Source organism: Homo sapiens, chromosome 11 (assembly GCF_000001405.40).
Source record: "Homo sapiens chromosome 11, GRCh38.p14 Primary Assembly".
Classification (NCBI taxonomy): Eukaryota; Metazoa; Chordata; class Mammalia; order Primates; family Hominidae; genus Homo; species Homo sapiens.
The window spans coordinates 16,310,438-16,336,767 of NC_000011.10; the positions used below are offsets into that span (position 1 = coordinate 16,310,438).

General features: G+C 34.7%; 1 protein-coding gene across 6 annotated transcripts in view; it reads right to left on the reverse strand.

The window, feature by feature from the left end:
* SOX6 (SRY-box transcription factor 6) overlaps positions 1-26,330 on the reverse strand; it is a 772,029-nt gene that overhangs the window by 343,989 nt on the left and 401,710 nt on the right. For all 6 annotated transcript variants that reach the window (NM_001367872.1, NM_033326.3, NM_001145811.2 and 3 more), the window contains one exon: positions 8,009-8,216. In NM_001367872.1, coding sequence (NP_001354801.1) covers positions 8,009-8,216 — 208 coding nt within the window. The remainder of the gene's footprint in view (positions 1-8,008; positions 8,217-26,330) is intronic.

Below are 26,330 nucleotides of genomic sequence, written 5' to 3' on the forward strand. Positions count from 1 at the left end.
CAGAAAATACTTGTTTATTTAAACTATCTGGTACTAGGTAAGTATTTACTATGAATATGATACAAATTTTTTAAAACAGGAGCAAGGACACAAATATTATTGGGAGGAAAGATTTTAAAGAGAAGAAAAAATGAATTTAAATGAAGTTGTATCAGCATTGTTCTGAATACCCAATTGCTTCTGCACCAAAAGTATGAGTGGTCCTGGGAAACTTCAGCATTTAAATGACTTGAAATTTCCAATTTATTTGAAATAACAATTTTGCGTGTTTTAATGAATACTTAAAGTGTTTCTTATGCAAAAACCCGAAACCTTTCCAAATTTTCCTTTTAATGAGAAACATAAAACAAGGCTTAAATCTGGGATATTATAAGTGCTTCACCAATATAACTTTCAATCAGAATAGTGGTAAAAACCTAATATCCACAAATTTTGCCTTAAAAATTATTGTGATGTTCTCACAGGGTGTGAATGTTAATTAAAAAAAAAACATGGGCTTTTAATAGATTTTTTGCTTTAACAGAAACACATTGCTCTTAACTGGCTACTATCTAAAAACCTCATCCAAGGCTTTACCAACCTCTCTCACTGACACCATCACATTCCACATATTTTTCAGAAGGGATGATTGGCTTTCAGTGGGGAAACTTTAGTATCAGCTTTTCCAAATAGCCTGAAAAGAGAGTTAAACTGAATTGCTCTTCCAGAACACAAGAACATCATTGCTGCCAAATGCTAAATCCCTTAACACCATGGGACATTTCCTATGATTCTGTCTGTGGTACAGAATGAGATTCCTAGAATATTTTTCTTTTTTAAAAGTTTCTTCAAATAATAACAGCAATAGTAGTTATAATAGCAATACTAGTAATAGTTATAATTACAGAAGCTAAATATTGTATATATTAATATGTCAAATCCTCACAATAACCCTGCAAGGCAGGTATCATTCATACAGATTTACAGATGAGGGAACTGAAGCACAAAGAGATTAATTTGTCCAAAGTCACACAACCAGGAAATAATGCTGGCTACATTTATTGAGCACCTACTTTGAGCTGGCAATGTTCTAAATGCTTTAGTTGCCTTAACTAATTATTCATCTTCATGAAAACCTTGATCCTTATAACACTGTAAAGATACTCATTTTTTGGTTGAGAAACTGAAGCAGAGAGATCAAGTAACATGCTCTATGTCATCCATCTAGGAAATGCTGAAGTGAAATTCAAACACAGGCAACCTAGCTCCAGAGTCTACACTCAGTAGGCTATACTGTCTCTCTAAATATTAAAACTTAGATTCAAACTCAGATCTAGCTCAAAGACATGACTTTTAAAAATGAATTTCCTCATTGTTTAAACTATACCATATATCTCTTTTAGTAGAGCAAAGTCTATCAGAGGAGCAAAACACAACTTATAAGCAAAGTAAATATATTTCAGTGAAAATATATGTAGAAATACAAATGATTGTTTAGAGATGTGAACAATGATAATAATCCATCAAATATACACATAAACACATGCTCATTCTTGTGCTGGGAAACAGCTGCATAATCCATTGGAAAGCCTGTCCCACCAGGAATTCAAAGCTCAAATGCTGCTGTCCCTTCTTACATGCACAGTAAAATGAATCCACATACTTTTATTACCATGATAGCAGAAAGCACACAATTCCACTGGGCAAATACTCTAATTTCTGACCAATGTATGTCCTATGGAATTGTATCAAAGCCTGCATACTTTCCATTACATTTATGGCTCTAACAAAGAGAGTTCATTTATTCTAATATTTCTACCTAACTACAAGCTTTGTCACTCTCTCCTAATCACAATAATTATTACCTAAAGAATAAGTTTTTAAAAAGAGCCATAGAGTCAGGAATTTAGTTTTATTTTGTCAGACAGTTGAGAGTTTTATCATTGTATCCCTTTTCCTGCAATCTCACATGACTCCAGAACCTGACTCAAACCAGGGCCCTCGGCCTAGGATCATATACTTAGTAGTATGATACACAAGACATGATAGTGGCTGAAGCACTATTATTAAAGAGAGATTAAAACAGCTGTACATTATGCTGAAGCACTCACTCTTCCCTTTACAAACAGACGGTCCTGGATTACAAGCAGCACTTGACCATTTAAATCACGACAACAACCAGATTTAACCAGCTGGGCCATATTCTCCTAGGCAGTGCCTGTTGACCTCCTCAGTCACAGCTGCTCAAGTGAAATTCTCATTAGACAACTTATTTTCAGAAGCCAAAGGACTCTCTGATTAAATATATGTATTTAGATATAGAAGTCCTTTTTAAAGTATTCATTTTCTGTCGCTTATGTTAGAGCCCAGCTATATTGGCAACAAGACGGGTGATACAAGGATAACTAAAATTCATCATTTTATTATAGCTGAAGAATTTTAGCCTTGGAAGCATCTTAACCTGAATCTATTAATCAAAGCTTTCCTGTACACTCTATCTACCAATGTTTTAAAAGGTGGTTTCTGACATTCAATCATTCAATCCATCTATGGATCTGTCTACCTACCTACATACCAATTTACCAATCTATAATACTAAATCAAAGTTAAATTTACAAAAGACAGAAACTTTGCCTATCTTCCCATAAGTCTCAGTTTCAGAGGGGGCACTTCAGATGTAGCACCCTTGTTCAACAATGTTTTACAATCTGGTCAAATCACTGCTCAGGAGAGGGCATTTCTTGAAGGAATAGCAGATTAAACACTGGACAATTTGGTTGATCAAAGCATCTGCCTGGAGAGTTTTTGTTTCATCATGCAAATATAGTTTTTAAAAGGACCATAATGAACTTTTTACAGATCAGTTCTTGTAGATGAGGGCAAATGAGGGAGAGGTATTTAGTCTGATAAAGAGTAAAAATATTCTCCAGAACAAGAATAATGCAAGAAAGGTAATCATTTATCATGTCAATCACACAGGCTTGTCTCTCAGCTAATCATGAAATATGGCCCTCAAACCATGAAGTAGATGTGAGGGAGAGGTGGGTAATGCATTTGAAGACTTTTAGGTGTCCAATGAGATAATACATCCCAAATGAGGAGATGGACCTGGAACTTTAAAGGATCAATGTCAGGCAAATATTGGTGGAGCTGTTATACCTCCTTAGACCTAGAATATAATTATTTGAGAAGCAGAAATCTATCCTAAACTTTTTAATGACCCTTTCTATAATTATTTCTGTTCTCCCATTATGCTATTCTATACTATGCTCCAAGTAGATAATCAAAATTAGGATTCAAACTCAAGATACCAAACTCAGAATAAAAAAATTCTCATTGCTCCCATGTCCAAAACATGTTCCTCCTTTTTTTTTTTTTTTAATTGTATTACCACGTTCCTATTTGCCCAGAGTTTAAAAATTCTGAGCACTCTTTGAACCATTCTTCTGTCTTGGTCTCTACACTTAAACATTAACTCTTAACAATTCTATCTCTTAATATCTTTTCCATATGCATCCCCCTTCCTTCCTCATTTCTGCTGCCTTCGTTCAGCAGACCCTCATTATCTCTAGCTTGAAACAATTTCCTTAATGTCTCTCCCTGCTCCCATTCATCCTAAACAGTGCAGCCAGATTAACTTTCCTGAAAGAAAGCTCTAATCCACCAACTTATTGTGCTAAAAAACAGTCAGTGGTTCCTCCATTGCCTTCAATATAAAGTTCAAACTCCTTAGGCAAGAGTCAAAGGGCCTCCATGATCTGAACACAACCTACTTTTTCAGTCTTATATCCCATATGCATCTTCTTTTTTTAATTTAGAACCTGAACTATTGGCCGTTTTAAAGTCCTCTGCCTATTCTTTCTGCCTGAAATGTTTCTCCTCTCAATTTCTGTCTATATAAATCCTTTCATTCTCCAAGACCAACTAAGACCCATTTCCCTACAGAACCTTCCAATGGCTTCCAAGGCAGAAGTAATTTTTCTATCTAGTAAATTCCCATAATATTTTATCTATATAGCTCTATGGAATTTATTATATACTAGAAACTGAATTAGAGTTCATTTTTATATGCCTTATATCTCTTACTGGAATATGAATTATTAAAAGTTAGAGACCATTGTTTTATTCATTATGGGTGTACCATATCATCTAGCATAGGGATTCTTAACTGGTGGTCCACAGACTCCAGCAGACATAGATAGAATTCAAGGGGTCTGTAAACTTTTGTGGAAAAATTATTTTTCACTAGACTGTATTGAAAATTTACATTTCCTTAAATTATGGATGCAAGTAACAAACCATACTGTATTTGTGGTTCCTATGACATTGTCACCAATAGTATCACAATTGATATTTTATATTACATTATACTTGGAGATATCTCAAAATATCTTTTACGCTTATCACTATTTCAAAATTATTATACTGTTAGGCCCTCTATAAGATCTTGTTTTCTTAATGCATTAGTGGAATAGCATATTCTACCATATCACAAATGTTTTAAATTATTTACTGGTTGTTTGTTTGTTTGTTTGTTTTGAGACAGAGTCTCGCTCTGTCACCCAGGCTGAAGTGCAGTGGCATGATCTCAGCTCACTGCAGCCTCTGCCTCCCGGGTTCAAGCAATTCTTCTGCCTCAGCCTCCCAAGTAGCTGGGACTATAGGTACTTGCCACCATGCCTGGCTAATTTTTGTATTTTTAGTAGAGATGAGGTTTCACCATGTTGGCCAGGATGGTCTTGATCTCCTGACCTCGTGAGCTGCCCGCCTCAGCCTCCCAAAGTGAGCCACCGTGCCTGGCCTATTTACTGTTTTAATATGATTCATTTTCTCTGTAATCTGTGTATTTTACCTTATGCATTTAAAATAATTTTTAAAAAAAGATCTGTAGGCTTCACTAGACTATCAAAGGGATTCACAGAAAGAAAAATTAAGAATCCTTGAGTTTTAATAAAATGCATTTCACAGAAGAAGAATATGTAGAAAAATAATCACAATACTATGTAGTCCTTGAAAAGTGCTGTAAAAAAAAAGATATACCATAAACTGTAGAATATTTTATAAGAATGTTCATAAAAATTCATAGTCTTGGCATTGGAAAAAAGATCAAACTTCTGTCCTCTACAACACCTCTATTAAAATGACAATAGAGATTGCTGCATATCTCTAAGGATAGATCAGTTACTATCTTCCAAGGGAGAATATTCCATATAGACAGCTACAGCTGTTAGCTAGTTGGTCTTATCAGCCATAATCAGGTTCCTCATAACTTCTTGTCACTGATCTGTATTCTATCCCCAGGAAGCTAGACAGTATAAACCCAATCCCTCCTCCATGTGACTTGAATCTTTAAAGACACCATCATGTCATCCTTGATTTGCTTTTCTCTGGGGTTAGTATTACTAATTCCTTCAACCATTCTTCTTCTTATATAATTTCATCTCTGCGATTATACCAATTGTTCTCTGAGAATATCCCAATGCCTTTGAGTTCCTCTTAAAGTGTGGTAATTCTGAACTCAACACAATACTTCACAAACATTCTATTGAGCAGTGAGTTTAGTGGGACTACCAACTCTTGAATGCATCATACTGTACTTCTAGTGATGCTGACTGAAATAGCACTGGCAATTTTTTTGGCAATATTCACTATGCTGACCCCATTGCATTTTCTGTCACTTAAAACTCATAGGTTTTTTTTTTTAATCATTCATCTGGCTGTTATTTGAATTTTCTTCAGTAATTACTTGTGCAGCTGGGATTTGGGTCACAACTTCTGAACTTGATAATAAGATCTATTAAATTTTATCTTGGTAGGTTATTTTTAAGTTCATAGTTTCAGTTTGTCAAAACATTTTAAGTTTTGTTTCTTTAATCCGTTATATTCACTGTTCCAGATTTGTGAGATAGGTAAATTTGATGAGCATGTTTTTGGTCATTTAATATCTGCATTTAATATATTTATATTATATACATTAATATATACTAAAGATGCCTGAATTTCTGATGTCTAAAACATACATATTGCAAAAAAAAATCTGTAGAGTATGAAAACATTCATTACTAGTAGAAATACAGTAATAAATGACTCTTAAAGGACTACTGTCTCATTCTGTAAGTGTCTCTCTTATACAAAATCAACTGTAACACATGGTAACAAAGAGGACGAAGAGAAAATTAACCATTACTTGCAAGGAAAAAATGATTTAAAATTCCCTAGTAGTTCAGGAAAAAAATCATCATCAATCAATGCCTTTATTTTTACATTAAAGACTCCTCCAAAGTATTTTGAAAACCACTTACTTATAGAACTGAAACCATCTTTTGGTGGATCACAATTAAAAGTAATCTAGTGATCTTACTTATTCAGTAGATAATTATCTGGCAATCCCCATTATTCAGAACATAGCCAAAAATGTGGACAACAAAGCCTCAGAAGCCAAAAGTGTCAGCATGTAGTTCATGCACTAAAGATCATATGTATTTCCCAGAATCTCTCAGCAACACCTCCAGAACATACTTGTTCATATTTCAAATACAGTCCAGAATTTCCTGATTATCTAATTTTATAATCTATAGGTAAATAGGAGAAAATTAGAAATTATTTGCAACTAAGCAAGAAATAATAGCCTGCAACCTGATATTGAAGGAGAAACCAACACACACACCAAAAAAATACATATATACAAAAAGATATATATATCAAGCAGACACAAAAACTCTTAAGTTTCATAATTGAAAAATAACCATAAAATCAAAGTGCTAATAATCTCAATGATCACTAGGGGCATTATTATAGCACAGTAAAATAATTGACATTTATAATATATCAGTTATATATGTTATATATAATATAATACAATAAGCCAAATGTATAAGTTTATAGTTAATATTCATATAGTTTACAGTTAATTCAAGACATATTCATTATTATTATTAATCCTCAAAATGTTTAAGTTGCAAACTCAGTAACCAAATTTTAAATTTTGTGGCTCGAGTAGATTGAAGAATTTACCCAGGGTGACATAATTGTTTGAAGGGTACTGAAGTTCCTAGTCTACTGTATTATGACCCTAGGTCATCAAAAAATATATACATTTTGTGTCATATTACCTGATTAGTAAAACAGGGAAGCATGCAATATATTTTAGAAAGACTTCTACGAAAATTAATTGGAATCTTTTAAGTTTTTGAGCCCTCAAAGGAATAAAATTAAGTTACATGAAAAATTCCCTAATATCAAATCCCAATTTGTCTATAGTAAAAAACAAAAGTCTCAATTTAACTTGCAATGCTAGTAATAAATCCAGAACTATTAATTACTCTACATTTTAAGGCCTAAAATCTGTACATAAAAACCAAAAGTGCAACATAGTATAACCATCACTTAGACTTGATTTACTTTGTTTAAAAATATTATTGGAGAGTCTTCTTTCATTTGTTTTCTAGGATGTACACGAACCTGAGTGAACTCTTGTACAGAGTAGAGAAGGTAGATGTGGGATGTTGCAAGAGATGTCATGTATCAAAGAAGTCACTCATATACTTTCAGTTTTAACAATGTTTGAAGCCCTCTAACTCTCCATTCTACAATGTTAGGAGATAAATAATATATTTATAAAAATGAAGAGAAATATTTTTAATTTTGCTTTTTAAACAGTTGACATTTTTATAAAGAAATACTATCCACCAAAAGGAAATAGGGGAGAAAAAATGAAAAATAAAGTTGCAGTTAGGAAAATTCTCTTGTTACCTTTTTCCAGAGTAGGATTATGGTCAGTTTAAAATCCTAATTTGTTATCTTAAGAACCAAATAAAATGCACAAAGTTTTAGAAAAACGGAGCTATCTGTTTAACACTCCTAATGGATCAAAATCTGCCATCACCATAGTAACCTCTGAATAACTTTTTCCTAGCTAGTGACAATTATGCACTTCTCTGACCCTTGAAATCCCACTTTTTTTTTTTTTTTAAGGCCTGGAATCTTTAGAAGAAAAAAAACAGAGCCCAACAGTGAAGTCCACACATACCCTCTTGTTCAGTCCGAGTCATTTCCTCAAGCTTCTTCTGTTTCAGTGTGTCCACCACATCGGCAAGACTCCCTTTGCGGCGCTCTGGGGTTCCAAAAGTAACACTGGTCATTATCTCACGGTCCCGACTCCCTTCGTCAGGCTTATGTGGTGAGGTAGAGGTATTTCGGAAGGAATATAGGGAACATAACTTATTATTCTCTGATTCCTAGAAAAATAAAATAAAATAAAACCATTAGAATATACGTTTCTTTGCATGCTACTGGAGAAAAAAATCCCAAACTGAGGACAGTATATGATGCTTAGTAGGACAAATAAAATATATTAATTAAAATAAAATACAAGTAACTTAGTAGGACAAATAAAAAATACAATTCTGATTGAACAACACCGATTAAACAAAACATTAAAGAAGCAATTGTCAAAGGAACTAATGTGAAGTTGCAGATTAAAACTGTTTAGCTTTTTAAATATAAAGCAGTTTAAGTGCTTCAAAAACAAGCATTTCAACCCCTTACTCATTTACACCTTTCATTCAAATTAGTTCAGATTCAATGACTAATTATTAGGCTTGGTAAAGTTTTTCTTTTAATTGGACACTTTTAGTATCAACACTCTTCCCACAACATAAAAAGGAGTACATCATAAAAAACACTGTCCTTTAGTTTAGAACAAGTAGAAAAGTTAGCTTCAGTAGCCAATGTTCATTGTTCACCAGAAAATACAGAAATTATCTAAATCAGTGCCAGAAAGTTAGCCAACATGAATATTTTTGTGTGCTGGGGTTTGGAGAAAACTGTTTTGTTTTGGTTTTTCTAGCTACACAGCTGTCCAAAGTTACAGAAGTCTCTTTCTATTCCTTACCCTTACCACTGATACTTCAGCACATTTTTCATGTGGCATTTAAAAATGTCTTTTTTTAGTTATTATTATTATACTTTAAGTTCTAGGGTACATGTGCACAACGTGCAGGTTTTTCACATATGTATACATGTGGCATGTTGGTGTGCTGCACCCATTAACTCGTCATTTACATTGGGTATATCTCCTAATGCTATCCCTCCCCCCACCCCACAACAGGCCCTGGTGTGTGATGTTCCCCTTCTTGTGTCCAAGTGTTCCCACCTACGAGTGATAACATGCGGCGTTTGGTTTTTTGTCCTTGCGATAGTTTGCTGAGAATGATGGTTTCCAGCTTCATCCATGTCCCTACAAAGGACATGAACTCATCCTTTTTTATGGCGGCATAGTATTTCATTGTGTATATGTGCCACCTGTTCTTAATCCAGTCTATCATTGATGGACATTTGGGTTGGTTCCAAGTCTTTGCTATTGTGAATAGTGCCGCAATAAACATACGTGTTAATGTGTCTTTATAGCAGCATGATTTATAAACGTCTTTTTTTTTTTATTTTACAAAAGGACAAGTTTATCCTCAGATGAGAAATATTTTTCTTAAAAAAAAGGACAGGCTTATTATAGAAATATTTGTGCAGGAATTACTTCATAGTATAGAGAAGTTAGCTAACTGTGAAGAGGTTTAGATGGATCAGCTGAAAAGGAAAAAGCAAATCGTAGGTGGAAAACAAACACCTAAAAGTTCATAGAAATAAAATATTCTTATATTTCTTTTAACTGAAACTGAGGGTTGGAAACAGCTATTATTTTGCCATAGCCCTTCAGCAGCCTTGCATTCACCTTTTATCTGTTTGCACAAGGGTATTCTCTCTCCCTATATTTATATAAAAAAGTGTATAAAGTAAATCAGCCAGTCTTTTAATCACCATCAGACTCCTGAAAATCCTAATTGCTCCTCTATATCTTTCCTTCACAAGGAAGCCCAGTAAGAATCAAGAACTTGAGGACAAGCATGGGGCAAAAGTTACACAGTTAATAACTAATGGGAAAAGGGGGGAAAAGGAAAATGATATCTACAGCAGTAAATTTCTACATATATTAAATGACATAATAATTGTACTCAACAAATGCTAGGTATTTCGGATTATTGTCATTGTATATAAGGTGGGATACAATGGATTTTCAGGGTTATTGAAAGCACATAATGAGATTATATTTGTAAGGCACCACGGCATAGTGCTGGGCTCATAATACTGAGGTGGTGTTTAATAACTGGTAGATACTATTTCTTGAAGGAAGGAACAGATTTGGGAATGGGACTAAAGAGATTTGTCTTCCTTCTGGACCTGAGGAATTATGAAGTAAAAAATGTTCATGAGTCTCCAACTAAGATAAATCTTGTGAAACCTGGGAATATATTAAAAACCATTGAATTGTATACATTAAGTGGGTAAATTATATGGTACATATATTATATCTCAATTAAGCTGAATCTTTTCATTGAGATAAATCTTAATTTTTTCTGCATACCCATTGCTAGTACAATGCCCAGAATAGAGCAGCTCAATATATTTATGCTGAAATAAACAGAAAAGGATAAAATAAATGGGGCAGGGCAGGAAAGAGAGCTCTTCTTTACCTTTCTTCTAGATCCCTTCCTTCCTCCAGGAAAGATGTTTTATCTCACTTAATGTTTACAAGAATTCTGTGAAGTGATGCAGAGGAACCCCTTCTTTTAGATGCCAGTCATGGCTAGTATGTGGCTCCTTGGAATGTCCAGTTCATTCTCCACTTGTGTGAATGAAAATGCAGAGATATATTTGTCAAAGCCATTTAAACCTCTTAATAAAGTCCGTATTAGACATCTGACCAAGGCTTTTATGAATTAATAATCACCATTTGATCAATCATACTTCAGTTGCTTTTATTTCAGATGCCAATTATTGTCACATTATGGCCAAAAAAAAAAAAAAAAACCCTGACTCAACCTAAGGGATTGAAGAACAAGTCAAAACAGTAATATGTGGAAGTGGTTACCTACAAATGACTCACAATTGACTATAATAAAGGAGATTTTCCCATCACTGCCAAACTGAAATTGAAAGATGCTAAGAGAGGCTCTCCAGCCTAGTAACAACTTTAGATTGTCCTGAGAGCATTTAGGCTCCAAAGAGTACCATTTTTTTTCTATCAGGACTAATGCCAAACAATCTTATTTACGCATTGTTATGGACTTGTTGGACTATGTTACTTGTTGTTTACTCATGGGAATGTGGTCACTGCCATCCTGCACCACAGACAATAACCATGGGTTCCTTATTGCAGTGATGACCCACACTGTTCTTAGCCCCATAATCTGTGCAAAGTGGCTCAACACTACCAAGCAGCAGAGAGCAAGAGGCTAGAGAGTCATGATTTCCCCACAAAAGCCACAAGAATTACTTGCAATATGTCACCAAATTGTAAAAATAGGCAGTAAATAAAAACAAACGGCTTAAGTCGCGTGTTATGTTATACCATGCTTAACAACAATGGGAGGGGGCAAAATTTACCATTTCCAGCCATCACTTTTTAACTTTCTAACACCTAACAAATATTAACCTTTCATAAGTGGAAGTCTGTAAGCAATTCATCTGAGTAAAAGGGGCACGTAAATTAATAAACTTATAATAGGTTACTGTCTAATATGAAGTCAATAATGCCAACTTTAAAAAAAAATCTTGACAAAGAATCTCTGGTTTTTTTAAGGAGGCTATGTAACTTTAAAGTAAATTTTATTAAGAAAAAAAGCCCAGATTATTTTGTAATTTCTTAAGAACAGAACAGGTCCAATGACACATCAATTGAGGCAAAATATCTGATATGGCTTAGATTTGTGTCCCTGCCCAAATCTCAAGTTGAATTGTAATTCCCAATGTTGGAGGAGAGGCTTGGTGGGTGGTGATTAAATCATGGAGGCAGACTTTCCCCTTGCTTATGATAATGAGTGAGTTCTCATGAGATCTGGTTGTTAAAAAGTGTGTAGACCTCCCCACTCTCTCTCTTCCTCCTGCTCCAGCCACATAAGATGCGCCTGCTTCCCCTTTGCTTTCCGCCATGATTGTAAATTTCCTGAGGCCTCCCCAGCCATGCTTCCTGTACAGCCTGCAGAACCATGAGCTATTAAACCTCTTTTCTTTATAAATTACCCAGTCTCAGGTATTTCTTTATAGCAGTGTGAGAATGGTCTAAACCAATGTCCAATGATAATATCTATCAAGTCTTAATGCATGTCACTGCAGCACTGCTGTGAAGAGACTTGAGACAATATTTCCCTAAAGTAGTGGTTCTCAAGCTTCAATGTGTAGAATTATCTGGCAAGTGTGTTAAAATGCAGATTCCTTCATCCCATACCACCTTCCACAATGAGGGGGCCAAGGAATTTGAATACTGATGAACAACCCAACTGATTCCGATGCACAGGTCCTGATCCCACTTTAAGAAATACTGCTCCCTAAAGAACAATGATATAAATGTGTTTTGCCTTAATATTACAATGTGAATATAATTGTGTAAAAAATTTTTAAAGCTGGTTGTGATTCTTCAAAATAACATAAAGGAGATTATTTCTCTTCTTTTGATTTTTCTTTTGAAAACAACCACTGTTTAACACGACTAAACACATGAACATCACAAAAAAGAAGAACATGTGGGCACTGAGTTAGTAAACATTAGTTTATTCAAAGGAAATGTACTATAAATTTCTTTTCTTTCAACCCCTAACTTCAGCAGCCCCACCAAACCTAACAGTGAAGAAAATTTTCAAAATATGATTTAAAAGTATCCTAGTCCCAAATAAAGGAAAAAAGCCATGTTGATTCAGATAATCTAAAGAGCATTTCACTGGAAATCAATTAAACACAATATGTAAAATATGTGTAGATGATTGAAAAAGTACACAGTAGTATCAAAAATAGTTATTAGAAAAAGTTTCTAGGAAAGAAAAAGCAGTTTTTCCATATCGGCAAAAATAGAATTTTAATTAAGATGTTTTCCAGTATTTGAAGAGATAAAGTAAATATTAAAAACAAAAAACATTAAAACGAATATTGTTCAGATTTTTCAGAAGTTACTATTCAAAACTGATGGTTCACCAATGGCATTCAAATGGCTTTAAATTTAAGTAGCCATCTCATGGTATTGAATATATCAAAATTACTCAAATCTTTGGGCATTTGTGTGTCTTGTTGCTTTCCCCTGGAATGCCCTATATCTTCCTTAACTTTGAACCCAACCCGCTCTTCAAAGTTCAGATCAAACTGCATTTCATCCTTGAAGCACCCCTGACTATACTGGACCTCACTATCATGCTACCCTCCAAACTACACATCAAAGCACTTAATCATAACCATATAATTTAGCATTTAATAATATACTGGAATAAAATATTCATTACTATTTTGCATGTAATTGTCATATCTGTAACTAAATTTTAACTCTTAAAGGATTTCAGGACTTCATGCTTCTTCCATAGGCTTCCAGAGCATACAACAAAATTAAATATGTGGACTGACAAACTTGAAACAACTAATTATCAAATATGTCAAAAATAATCAAAAGGCTGGGCACAGTGACTCACACCTGTAATCCCAGCACTTTGAGAAGTCAAGCAGGAGGATCACTTCAGCCAAGGAGTTTGAGACCAGCCTATGCAACATAGCAAGACCCCATCCCTACAAATAATAAAAAAAATTAGCTGAGTGTGGGGGTGCACACTTGTGCTCCCAGCTGCTTGGGAGGCTGAGGGGAGAAAATTGCTTGAACTTCAGAGGTCCAGGCCACAGTAAGCCATGATTGCTCCACTGCACTCCAGCCTGGGCAAACAAGCCAGACTCTGTCTCTCAAAACAAACAAACAAACAAACAAAAAAAATCAAACAGGCAAAGAGCAAAGATTTGCTCCAACAATGACAGGATTGCTTAAGCTAAACATTTAGAACTGAGATATTAAAACATAAGGAATTGATGATACAACTACACAGTGGAATACAACACAGCCATTAAAAACAAACATACCTATTGAACATACTGTCGTTTACAGTGATGAATAACTATAGGCAACCTAGTTATTCCAATTGTAGGAATTATTTGAGGGCATTATGATTTTATCTATATGATGAAATGTTTTGAAGCTACTGAAAATCATAGTCTTGCAGAAAATTTAATGAAATGTGGGAATATTCATAATGTATTGTTAGTTCAAAGTATATTAATAAGACTAATATACTTTTTTATTTTAAATTTTTGGATACATAATAGTTGTCCATATGTATGGGGTACATGTGATGTTTTGATACAAGCATATAATGTGTAATGATCAAATTTGGGGAACTAGTATATCCATCACCTTCATCAACAGATAAATGAATTTTAAAAAGATAGTATGTATACACAATGGAATATTATTTACAGTAAAAAAAGAATAAAATTCTGTTATTTGCAACAACATGGATAGAGCTGGAGGACATTATGTTAAGTGAAATAAGCCAGGCACAGAAAGACAAATATCACATGTTCTCACTCACATGTGAGAAGTAGTGAATAGAACAGTAGTTACTAGAGGCTAGGAAGGCTAGTGGTGATGGGGAATAAAGAGGAGTTGGTTGATGAGTATGGAAATATAGTTAGATAGAAGGAATAAGATCTACTGTTTGGTAGCACATTATACATCATTAAAAAATTATGTACAGAAAAAAAGAGACCATAGTACACAATAAAATGTTAATGGCCCTCTGAGTATTGGGACAACAGATAATTTTATTTCCTTTTTGAAGTTCTCGATATTTTGTAAATGTCCTATCACAAATAATACTTTTAATCAGAAAATAAATTTCATCTTCACATTTAAATATAAATATCAAAGAAGTCATAGAAATAATTTATTCACAAGGAAAGATGTATTAAATGAAAAAAAGCATATACTGTAGTATTTAGAATATAACACCAATTATTTATATGTGTGCATAAGTGTAAATGTGCTCCCCCACACACAAACATACACAAACTGGAAAGATATATTAAAATATTTACAGTGATTCCTAAATGGTGGTAAGACTGTTGGTAATTTTCATTTCCTTTTTTGCTTATCTGTGTTTTCTAATTCATCTTCCATAAACATATTACTCATGTAGTAAAGAAAAACAAAAGCTATTTTATACACTGATGCTTAGGGGAAACAGAAAAAAATAGTAATTTAAAAGAATAGATTTTGGCCTTCTTGAAGATGTCGAGAGAGTCAGTATATTATAGTTTCCCTCTACCAAACACAGAAAAAATAAACAAGATTTCTTTCCTTGGCATTTCTACAGTTGCAGGATCTCAAATATTATTTCTAATAAATCTAATTATTAAAAAATTAATCTTCACATAAGCTAAAATCTAGATACTTATTGCTATGGTTTGAATGTACGTCCCCCCATAATTCATAAATCAAAGCCTAAGACCTAATCACTTTAGGAGGTGATTAAGTTATGAGAACAGAGCCCTCATGAATGGTATTAGCAACCTTATAAAAGTGCTGAAGGCAAATAGTTACTTCCTTTTTGCCCTTCCACCCTTCCGCCATGTGAGGACACAGTTTGTTGATCCTGTCAAGGTGTCGTCTTGGAAGCAGAGACTGGGCCTTCACCAGACACCAGACACCAAACCTGCTGGTGCCTTGATCTTGGACTTCCCAGCCTCCAGAATTGTGAGAAATAAATGTCTGTTGTTTATAAATTACCCAGTGTATGGTATTTTGTTATTAGCAGCAGTATTGGACTAAGACATTAATTACAACACATTGTTTACTGTTTGCTCTCAAAAGATGCATAATATCAATCTATTTCCTCTTCCATGTGAGAGTTGTTCAAATATCTTAATGAAGATATCAAATTAATAGTCTTTTTCTAGGTAAAACTCCTGCACTTTCTAAACCCATTTCTCATTTGCCATGATTTCCAGACCCTTCATCATCCTCCTCTGATGCACTCGTCTCTAGATGTTATTCTAAAAATATGTCACCAACAACTAGATACCAAATTCTACATCTTCACTTTCAGCAGGAAAAAAACAACACTCAGCAGGATTGTTCCCTCCATGTCACATAGGCAGGACCGGTAAAAATCTTTAACTGCAGGTTTTCTGACACCAAATCCAATGTTTTTTCTAATCCATAGGGCTACAGTTTTTTTTAAAAAAAAAAGTCACTCTCAACAGTAAAAGATGCCACAATGCCAATGATGACTACCTTCTAAGTCTTTTTGTTTCCATCCATTTCCAGAAAGGAGATTTATCTACATTTGAGGCAAAAATTACACTTTATTATTCACCTTAATCCAAGAATTACCAAGAAGTAACTTGTATTACTTATGTATTGTTGTATAAGAAATCATCCAAAAACAAAGTGCTTAAAACAAAACCAATCATTTATTATCCTTAATGCTATCTGTAGGTCAGGAATTTTGGAGCATCTGGGCTGGGTGGTTCTGTCTAAAGTCTCCCATGAGGTTACAGTTAAGTCAGTGGCTAAGGCCAAAGGCTTCTTTACTCACAGATAAGGTACTTGGGCTGGGAACATTTTAAGAGTTCGGGGCTGAGATAACTAGGGTTTCTTGGACATCTTACTCTAGCTCTACATGACCTTTCTGCATGGTCTCTTCTCTACAGTATGTTAGTTTCAGGATAGTGAAACTTCTTTCTTACGTGGTGTCTCAGAGATCCAAAGGTGCATGTCCCAGAGACAGCCAGATGAAAGCTATACCACTGTTTCTAACTTAGCCTGGGAAATCACGCTGTATAACTGTCACTGCATTCTATTCAATAGTGAGTCACCAAGCCTTGCCAAAAGTCAAGGGAATGGGAATTAGACTCTGCATTTTTATAGGATAGAGCTATAATTATATCTTCAAATCGTTGCTATGAGAAATGAATCATGTATAAAGCACTTAGTATAATGCCTAGCATATAAGTACTCAATAAATGATAGCTACTCTTATTAAATACAAATGTCCTTTGTCCAATTGCCCTTTTTTTCTATTTTCAATTCTGAAAATACAGTCATGATAACCACTGGCACCTTTTAAGTTTTTATTCATACTTGTTCATCTAAGTGGAATAATAAATACTAAACTACATTACTTTCTTCATTATCAATGTTCACCTCAAACCAATTCCATTGAGATCTGGCTTCTCACAAAGCTCCAGGAACTTTAGCATTTATAATTTGCTTTTTCTAGGAATACTACCAATTCTTATTTATCCTATCTGCATATGGATTCTCTCTACTGTGTCCAGGAGCAGCTACAGTACACTACCGCTCTTATTCAGCTGGATTGCCGACCATACCTAGACAAGGAATGTGGATGGTCAGCCATACTGCAAGCAGAGGAGAACAGTGGGCTGGGGTTGCAAAAGTCAGATCAGATGTCAGGAATTAAGAGTCAGAAAGCATAGGTCAGGAGTTGAATCTTGCCTATATAATGAAATTGAAACCCACATACAGGTGGGAGTCACTGCAGTTGGGAGAAATGACTGGGAAATGGCATAAGTAGCTGCAAGAATCAACTTCCCTACCGGCTGCCCAGTCTAACTGTAAGAACAGAATACTATTCACTTGTACCCTTTCCTGTATCCAGTAGCAAGAATGAATTAAATCTATTCATTCTTATAGCACCATATGTTGTCAGTTTTGCTTTGTTTTCCATTTTAGTTGTAGCCTCTCCAGTTGCAATGTTATCCTCAACCTAGTCTGCCCTCCCTATAGACAAGGTTTATTGAGATATCCAATCATAGATTTGCCCTGGTTTCGGACGACACTCAATCTACAACAAACTTCTGCTTCTTTAGACCCTACTCAAAATCACCAAAAGAAAGCCCAAACCCTAAAATAGGTCCAAATATAACACTCTCTTCCTAAGACGTTCTATGGTTCACTATGGTATATATTCTCCTTCATTAAAAATGAGTAATAAACCCAATGTGTTCAGCTACAGGTATGTTCCTGGTAGTCTCTGACTGGAGGGAATTAAGGAGCTACAATTTATGTAAAGAAGTTAACACAATAGCAAAAACAACCAAAAGTCATTTATGTTTTAAATTACCATGGACTGGCAACTCAACCATGTTAGTGATCAATCTTCCTTGCCAGGTCACATGGCTCCCACCACTAACTATACCCCATCCTTCCTTGGTATGCAGTGCATTTATATATTTAAAGTTTCAATTAAATGTCCAAATTATGTTATATAAGTTACATATATACAACTATGTTTGACATATTACATTAACTTATACCACAGACAATATATGTAACATTTTTTCTGATTCTCCACTTTAAACAACCTTTTGTTTTCTTGATGAACAAAAAACTACTTGCCAACTGTGCTATATAAGACACCTTCTACTATAGTGTTATTGACTGACAGAAAAGATTTCGGTTCCAATAACTTCTTGCTAACAAAGGAAATCTAACCTTTTTAATATGCTGAAGACTAAATTGCAAACATTTACGGTTCTTTCTCAGAGGAAAAAAGTATGTTTTTTTCTAATGTGACATACTGTAAAGAAAAGGATTGGGTTAAAGAAGCATACATAAATTAAAATGCTATATTTGGTTCTAATTGCCAACAGATTATTCATGACAAAAGTATCATTTTTTGAATGATAGTGAAAGTGTATTTTTTTCTTTTATTAAAACTGATATTTGCTAGTATATTAGATTTACATAACATTCTCAAAATTGAAATAACATATGCCACTTATCACTATTACTATGCTGTTGAATAACAATAAAATTATTCATAGATGTGTCAGAAAATAGATTTGTTACCAATATTTGCTAAAGTGTCATGATTCCTAAGGCTTTAAAAATAAGCTGTTGTTTCCTAAATGTTATTTCAATTCCCAGAAAAAAAATAACAAACCCAAAAGTTTGTTGAATGTCCTCATTAACATTCTATTTAATAAATGGAAGTAAATATAGTGAATAGATTAAATACAGAAAACATCCCCAAACCTGTCAAGACAGGGACATAGAAAAGCCCTGCATTATCTATACACTACCAGCCTCACACACAAAATTAGAATCTCAAGATTCAAAGGTCTTTAAAACTCCAATTGTTCAATCCCATCTAGCACTTGAATTCCCTGTGCAAGAGAAGATGGAATAATAAAATAGTTAACAAAGTACAGGCGCCCTGGGCAAGATTTTCCAGTTTAAATCCCAGCTTTTCCACCTCTCATCCATATAAGCTCAGACAAGTTAGTTAACTTCTTTTCACCTTAATTTCCTTGTCTGCAAAATGGCAATAATAATAGTACAGTAAAGAATTTATCTCAAAGAGTTGTGGGAATTAAATGATTTAATAAAAATAAAACACTTAGAACAGTGGCATTACATAGTAAGTGATAATTAAATGGTGGTGGTTACAATTTCCTTGACAAGTGACTATTTGGCCTCTCCCTAAACGCTTTCACTAATAGAGGATTTAGCAGCTCCCAAAGTGGTCCATTCCATTTTTGGAGGGTTGTCCAAAATTCTTCTTTACAGAAATATGAAACACGTTCCAATCTATATTTCTATTCCATGGAAACATTCAGAATGGCAGTTATTCAATACATACTCACAGCTATTACAGTACCTTTCTATCCTCTCTTCATCTAGGGAAAATATCCCTTTTTCCTTCATTTCTTCTTCATAAAACACAGTTTGGCCAGTCTGAACATTCTTCTCTGAGTGTGTTCCAATTGTTTCTCTTTATATATCTCTTAAAGAGTGGTGCCCTAAACTCAATATACTCAGTACTGTCTGAACAACAAGAATTAAGACACTAAGAATTCCTTAGAGATGTCATGTTTTAAAGATTTCATGCCATGTAAGCAGAGCTTTAAGGCAGGCCTGATAGTGAATTTCCCAGCAATTAAATCAACATTCTATCAAGATTCAACTATTGGTCAGGCACAGTGGCTCATGCCTATAATCCCAGCACTTTGGGAGGCCGAGGCGGGCAAATCAGTTGAAGGCAGGAGTTCAAGACCAGCCTGGCCAACATGGTGAAACCCCGTCTCCACCAAAAATACAAAAAATTAGCCAGGCATGGTGGCACACACCTGTAATCCCAGCTACTCAGGAGAGGCTGAGGCAGGAGAATCACTTGAACCCAGAAGGCGGAGGTTCCAGTGAGTCGATATCAAGCCACTGCACTCCAGCCTGGGCGACAGAGCAAGACTCCATCTAAAACAAATAAACAAACAAAAACAACATTCAACTATTGACTGGTTCATGTGCCTACCAACTCTAGACAGTTATTTTCATCTGGCAATTCATTAGTACTCAAACTACCATATACATGATACTCAATCTAAACAATAGTAAGCTAAGTCAAATTGGCTATCCCAATTTTAACCTTGAAACCAAGAAAGTTAGAAGTGCCAAGAGGCTTAGTCATTGTAGTTCAAATCTTTCCTTTTTGAGCTGAGGAAATCGAAGTCAGGAGATATAAAGTGACTTCCCTAAGGTCACACAGCAAATTAGGGCAGAGATGAACACAGGCTTTCTAGGAGGTAACTTGTGTTCCCTCTAAGGCCCCCAGATAAAAAAAGAAAAAAAGGAACCCCTACCAAACAAAAAGAATGTCTTTTTGACAATTTATGGCATTGAGAAATAAAGGGAGTGATTATGCAGAAGTTGGAGATGTTGGACAAATTCTTACAGAGCACATTTCTATGCCTGGAGAGTCTCAAATGATTCCATAGAGCTCCTCTTAAGAGGTAACCACTTACTCTGGTGTCAGGTCAATCTTCCTCATGCTCTCCTCCTCTGCAGTTGTTTTCTTTTCATCCTCCTTTGAGTGACACCCATACTGTTTGTTGTTGTTTTTGTAATAAGCAAAGTAACTAGTGTGTTTTACATGAAAAGAAATAACTCATGGTATGCTCTTCATACCTCACAAATCCTAACATTAAAAGTATCAGAGCCCAATCAAGGTTTGTCAAATCCATTTGTTCCTTAATAGAGATGCAACTCTGTTGACAGTTAAGTCCTTTCAAGGCCCAGTTTGCCTAAAGAAGAGAGTCAAGAGAACAGATTGCTTTATGTGTCATACATACTCAGGGCCACCCTGTGAGCTCAACAAACTCCTCTCTTCACTAGATCTTGTCCAGTAAAGCTCCTAAGTTTGAGGATTTCACTGAAAGAACCTTCAAATTTTCTTCTAATATGTTAAATTCATATGGTGGGCTACCAAGAAACTCTTTATAATTCAGAACATTTTAAATAACATCTCTAGCTCTCTTGTTTAAGTTCTTACAACTAGAACAAGTACAAAGAGACTAAAAATGATTCCTCAGAGGTTATGTTACTTATAAAACAATGATCTATCCATCCATGCATCCACCCACCTATCTCTACGTACATTTCCAGCAAAAGGGAAACGGGGCACAAAATGTCACCAATTTAACACAAGGCAGCAAATTAAAAGTCTAACTGCAATCAGGTCCTCACAATGTCTGGAAGCTGTGCATTCCTCTACCTGAATGCAACATACAACCTTGGACTGATGACACAACTACAATCACAGAGCCCATATTTTCTCTCTGGAAAGAAAAACTTTTCTCTGAATTTTTATTTTCCCCTCTTAACTTCCAAATATCCAAAAACATAGATTCATTCCTTGACCTACCGTGTCATCCAAGAGAACAGTAGCCAAAAGGAGGGCCAAATTCTAACTTTACTGTTAATTTCAGAAAGCAAAAGAAATAAACTATAATCCAATTATATCTGAAATACATCGATGAGAGAACAAAAATGAGAGAATCATCTTTAGTAGAAGCATACCAGGTATGAAATAAATTAATATAACTGAAAGTCATATATTGAGTCTAAACTCAAGAGTAAAAGCTTTCTGAATTCGTTCATGGATTACATTAGTTTAATCCTGGCTAACTCAGTGCTTATGCAAAAAATTATTACTCACCACTGGAACTGACCAAAAAATTGATAAATAAAAGTAATTATCATATAAATATTTGAATTATTCATTTCTCAGCAAAAGAATTTCTTCTATTATACCACCATAATCTACCTGTGCTTGAATGAGGGCACACTTCCTCTCAGAATTTTGAGACATTTGAGAATATTGTTTTCTGAGTACTCTCAGTATACTGGGAGTAGAAACAAATCAGAGTTAAATTATAATGAAAGCAAAAGTTTACCAAATAATTTCCAATCATTTTATTAAATAAGATTTTCTATTTTCCAGGGTGCTAATGAAATATAAAGAAGATAAATGAAATGCATAAATATTCATTTCTAATTTCAACCTGATTGTAAAATTTTATTAGCAAAGGTTTGTAATTTATACTTTGGAATTTAGAATGTGGTTTACACAGATATATTATTGAACTCAATTTGCATCACCTAAAAAACAATGCCTAGGGGTCAAGAGAATGTAGTAAAGGTTAATATCATGAAAAATAAATATGTCATCACATTGAAAGCTGTATTAACAAAAGTAATAATAGCTTGAAGTTGCTCTTCTTTTAAAAGGTTATGCTTCTCCTGGAAAGCAAGGAAACTTTTTTGCAGAGGACAATCAAACAGTGGAATAATTTTAGTATCAAGGTAATTAATACATATTCATTATAGGTGTTCAAGAAAGATTAGATATATTTGTGGAGGGAACAGAGTAGGGTCTTTCCTGCTTCATGCAGGTGGTTTGACTGAATAACGAGAGACAGCCCTTTCAACCTCATCTTCAAACAAATGATGCAAGTAGGATTCATTATATTAAAGTTGGCTTTATGGAAAGCAACCCTTTCCAAATTAAAGAAGGTAGGTCTCAAGGTGTGCAGACACAATCCTGGGTTCCTCCTCCCAAAGTAATATGCTGCGTATCACAGTTGTCTCCATCTTATTCCTGCTGATCTAGAAGGACTTTGAGATTAATATTTCATTCTAATCACAATAAGTTCAAATTAGTCATATAAACAACTGCATTCTATACAATATAAACATTATTTTCTTCATGTTGCTTGGAAGCATTATGAAAAAATGTGCAGATTTTATTGTTCCAGTTATCATATTTCATTATAGTGATGTACCCAGAGGCTAGGCAAGAAAAAATTTTAAGAAGGATTTCTGTACAAGAAAATATATATTAATCAGAACCACCTATAGACTGAAACATGCTCATAGAGTTCTGCTTTAATCAGGAAATTATTAGTGTCCCAAGATTAGCTTCCATTGATTAACCCTGACCAACTTTAATAAAAGGTTTATTTAAAAAAAAAAGCTACATTCAAATGACATTTGAATCCATTAAGAAAGATAAAAGCTGAGTAGAACAGTCCTGCTCAATCAGACTCACTAGACTAGATTCACGCTAGACTAGATTATACTAGATTTTTTATTAGTAACCAAGTCTTACTTTAAATAATTATCAAAAAGCTACTTTTCCTATGTGTGTAAATGCTATAGACTCTAAGCTACACTTTGGTCATATAGAAGTATTTGCATAGGGATAGTTGACAGGAAAAGTCAAACCACAGGAGCAGCCCTGGCATTACTATGAGGTATACACTAGCAGTACATAGGTAAAGTAAATGAAAACAAAATATCCATCAAACTGAGGCAAACATAAAACTGAGGCAAATTAGGAGAACGTTGGCTGACTCCAAGAAAAGATAATCCTTTTGAACATACAGTAATGTTGCAAATTGTGAGTGTCAGTGATAGAGTTCATTAAGGGGTTCATGTTATAGTCAGTGCACTACAAACCCTAGTCATTGGATCTTATACAGACTTAATGATTAAAATAAAAATAAACATGACATGTGACACCTCCTTAAAGACATTCTGAATACACAACTTCACTGAAAAAAAAAAGATACTAATGTCCGATTTTCATTTATCTGTCAAAATACAAAAGAAATGCAAAAAGTCTTTGCACAGATGTAGCAAAGTACTGGATTTTTATATTTTGGCAGGTGCTCAATACGCAGCCCACATAATCACATGTTAATGACTGGAGTGTGTTAATCAGCATGCATACCTGATTCCTTCTTGCCCAAGGGGGAAAAAAGCCAACTATTCCAGAGCATGTTAATGTCTCTACTTTTTTTTTTTTGAGATGGAGTCTTGCTCTGTCGCCCAGGCTGGAGTGCAGTGGCACAATGTCGGCTCACTGTAACCTCCATCTCCCAGGTTCAAGCGATTCTCCTGCTTCAGCCTTCTGAGTAGCTGGGACCACAGGCACGCACCACCACGTCTGGCTAATTTTTGTATTTTTAGTAGAGATGGGGTTTCACCATGTTGGCCAAGCTGGTCTCAAACTCCTGACCTCAAGTGATCCACCTGCCTTAGCCTCCCAAAGTGCTGGGATTACAGGTATGAGCCACCACGCCTAGCCTAATGTCTCTATTTTTGATGAAGATTTTAATAATATGCTAGGTAAGAAAGAAAATTTTTCCAAAAATTATCCTTAGAAAGGCATATTATGTAATTAAGAATCATGAAAAAATAATTTATATTTCCATAAACATCGAGACACTTCCAAGTATCATACCAGTAACCCTTTGTTTAATTTAAACAATTTAGATTTGGGGAACTTTTAAAAATACATACTTTTTCTAAAGGACAGTGCACATTATCAGGGTGTAAAAATATAAAGGAAATCAATGTGTCAACACTAGACAACATTTGCTGTCTATTTCACTACCCACAGCAAGAGCTTTGCCAGATTCCATGCAATAAAATGTTTTATTTTTTAGTTCAAATACTAAATAAATTTCTGTCATTAAATTTCTGAAACAGGTTGAAAAAGAGATAGTACCGTATGCAAATATAGTTTCAAAGTTACAGGAACTGGGAAATCTCCCATGAGTCTTCCTAGAAAATACTATTCAGTGATTCAAGGTAAGGATGGCCATTTTCACCTGTTAACAGAAATCTAGGCTTGAACTTTACTAAAATTGAATGAATTTCCAAAATCCAAAAATGAGAGAAGTAGTAACTAAATGTCTCAAGAAGTCTAAACCTTACAGGTTTATGGACTTTTTTCCAGTGCTTCATAGGCCAATCAGGTATCACAAAGGTGTACATAAATCTTACCTTAGGAGTTATGACTATGACTATACACTAGTTAGAACCAAGTGAACGAGTGGGTTTCACTACACTTTCTAAAGTACAGTCTCAATAAAAGTGGGGAAATAAATTTCATTTTGGTGCTGCCTACTATCTTAAATGACAAAATCTTACAAAAAACTGGCAACAATTCAAGTTTTTAAAATCTTCTCTAAAATAACAAGATTAGAAATCTTCTCAAAGTCTGTCATAACAGCATGACTGAAGATTAGATCCTCACTAAAAATTCCTGGATTGTTATCATGTAATGACAATAGCTCCATTCCCAGAAATGGTACAAAGTCCACACCAGCAATTTTATGACTCCAAGTGAAAAACACAAAACACTCCAGAGTTGATTAGCAACTTCATGAGACTGAAAGCTAGAGAAGCAGAGTAGAAATTGTTTGCAAGCAAGAAGGTGTTTTCCCCAATAGTTATTTATTAAATATCTCAGCATGCCTACCATTATTTTCATTCAATTACAACAAAGGGCATTATTGACATCTTTTATTTAAGGTGGAAACTTATTTTAAAACTTTTCTAGAAGATAAAAACTCCCCTGGAGGAATTTAAGTAGGTCTCTAAAATAAGAAGTTCAGATATTCTGGGGCTGATAGTCCACTATGGTTATTTCTACCTACTTAGACTAGTAGTTAAAAGCCACATGTATATTTTTGCCAAAATGTGTATCAATATAAGAATGTGTGTAAGTGTACACATGTACATAAGTTCCCACTTACAATCATCACATTTTGTATCTCATAAGAGTGTTGGTGCCTTACCCACATCTCCATGGCCTACCACAGAAGCCACCTACTAAGAGTTGCTTCTTAGGCAAAAAGCTTGTCTCTCACCTCGGCCCATTCTCTGGCCGAGAGCATTTCTACTCGCTTCCCTCCTCTCCTTGGTCTCACCAACGTCATTTCTTGTCATTCTTGACTATGTTTCTGCCCACATGTACATTACTTAAAACGTTGTCTCCACCCTTTGTGTAAATTTTGTCTTCTTCAGAATCTCTGAGAACTCTTCAATGAATAACCTCCCTAACTGTTCACTCTTCTGCTTATCATCAATCAAACTCTCACCTGCACCACTGCAATGGTTTCCTAATCGGTGTCCCTGTTTCTGATGTTCTCTCTCACAGTCCACTCTCTACACAGCAGGCAATGTGATCTTTTAAAAACATAAATCAAATCATGTTACTCCCTTGCTTAAAATTTTCCAATGGCTTCTACTTACACTTGAAAGAAAGTTTAAACACTTCCCTGTAGCCTATGAGACTCCATAATATCTGTAATCTGTCAGCCTCCCTGATTTCATTTCA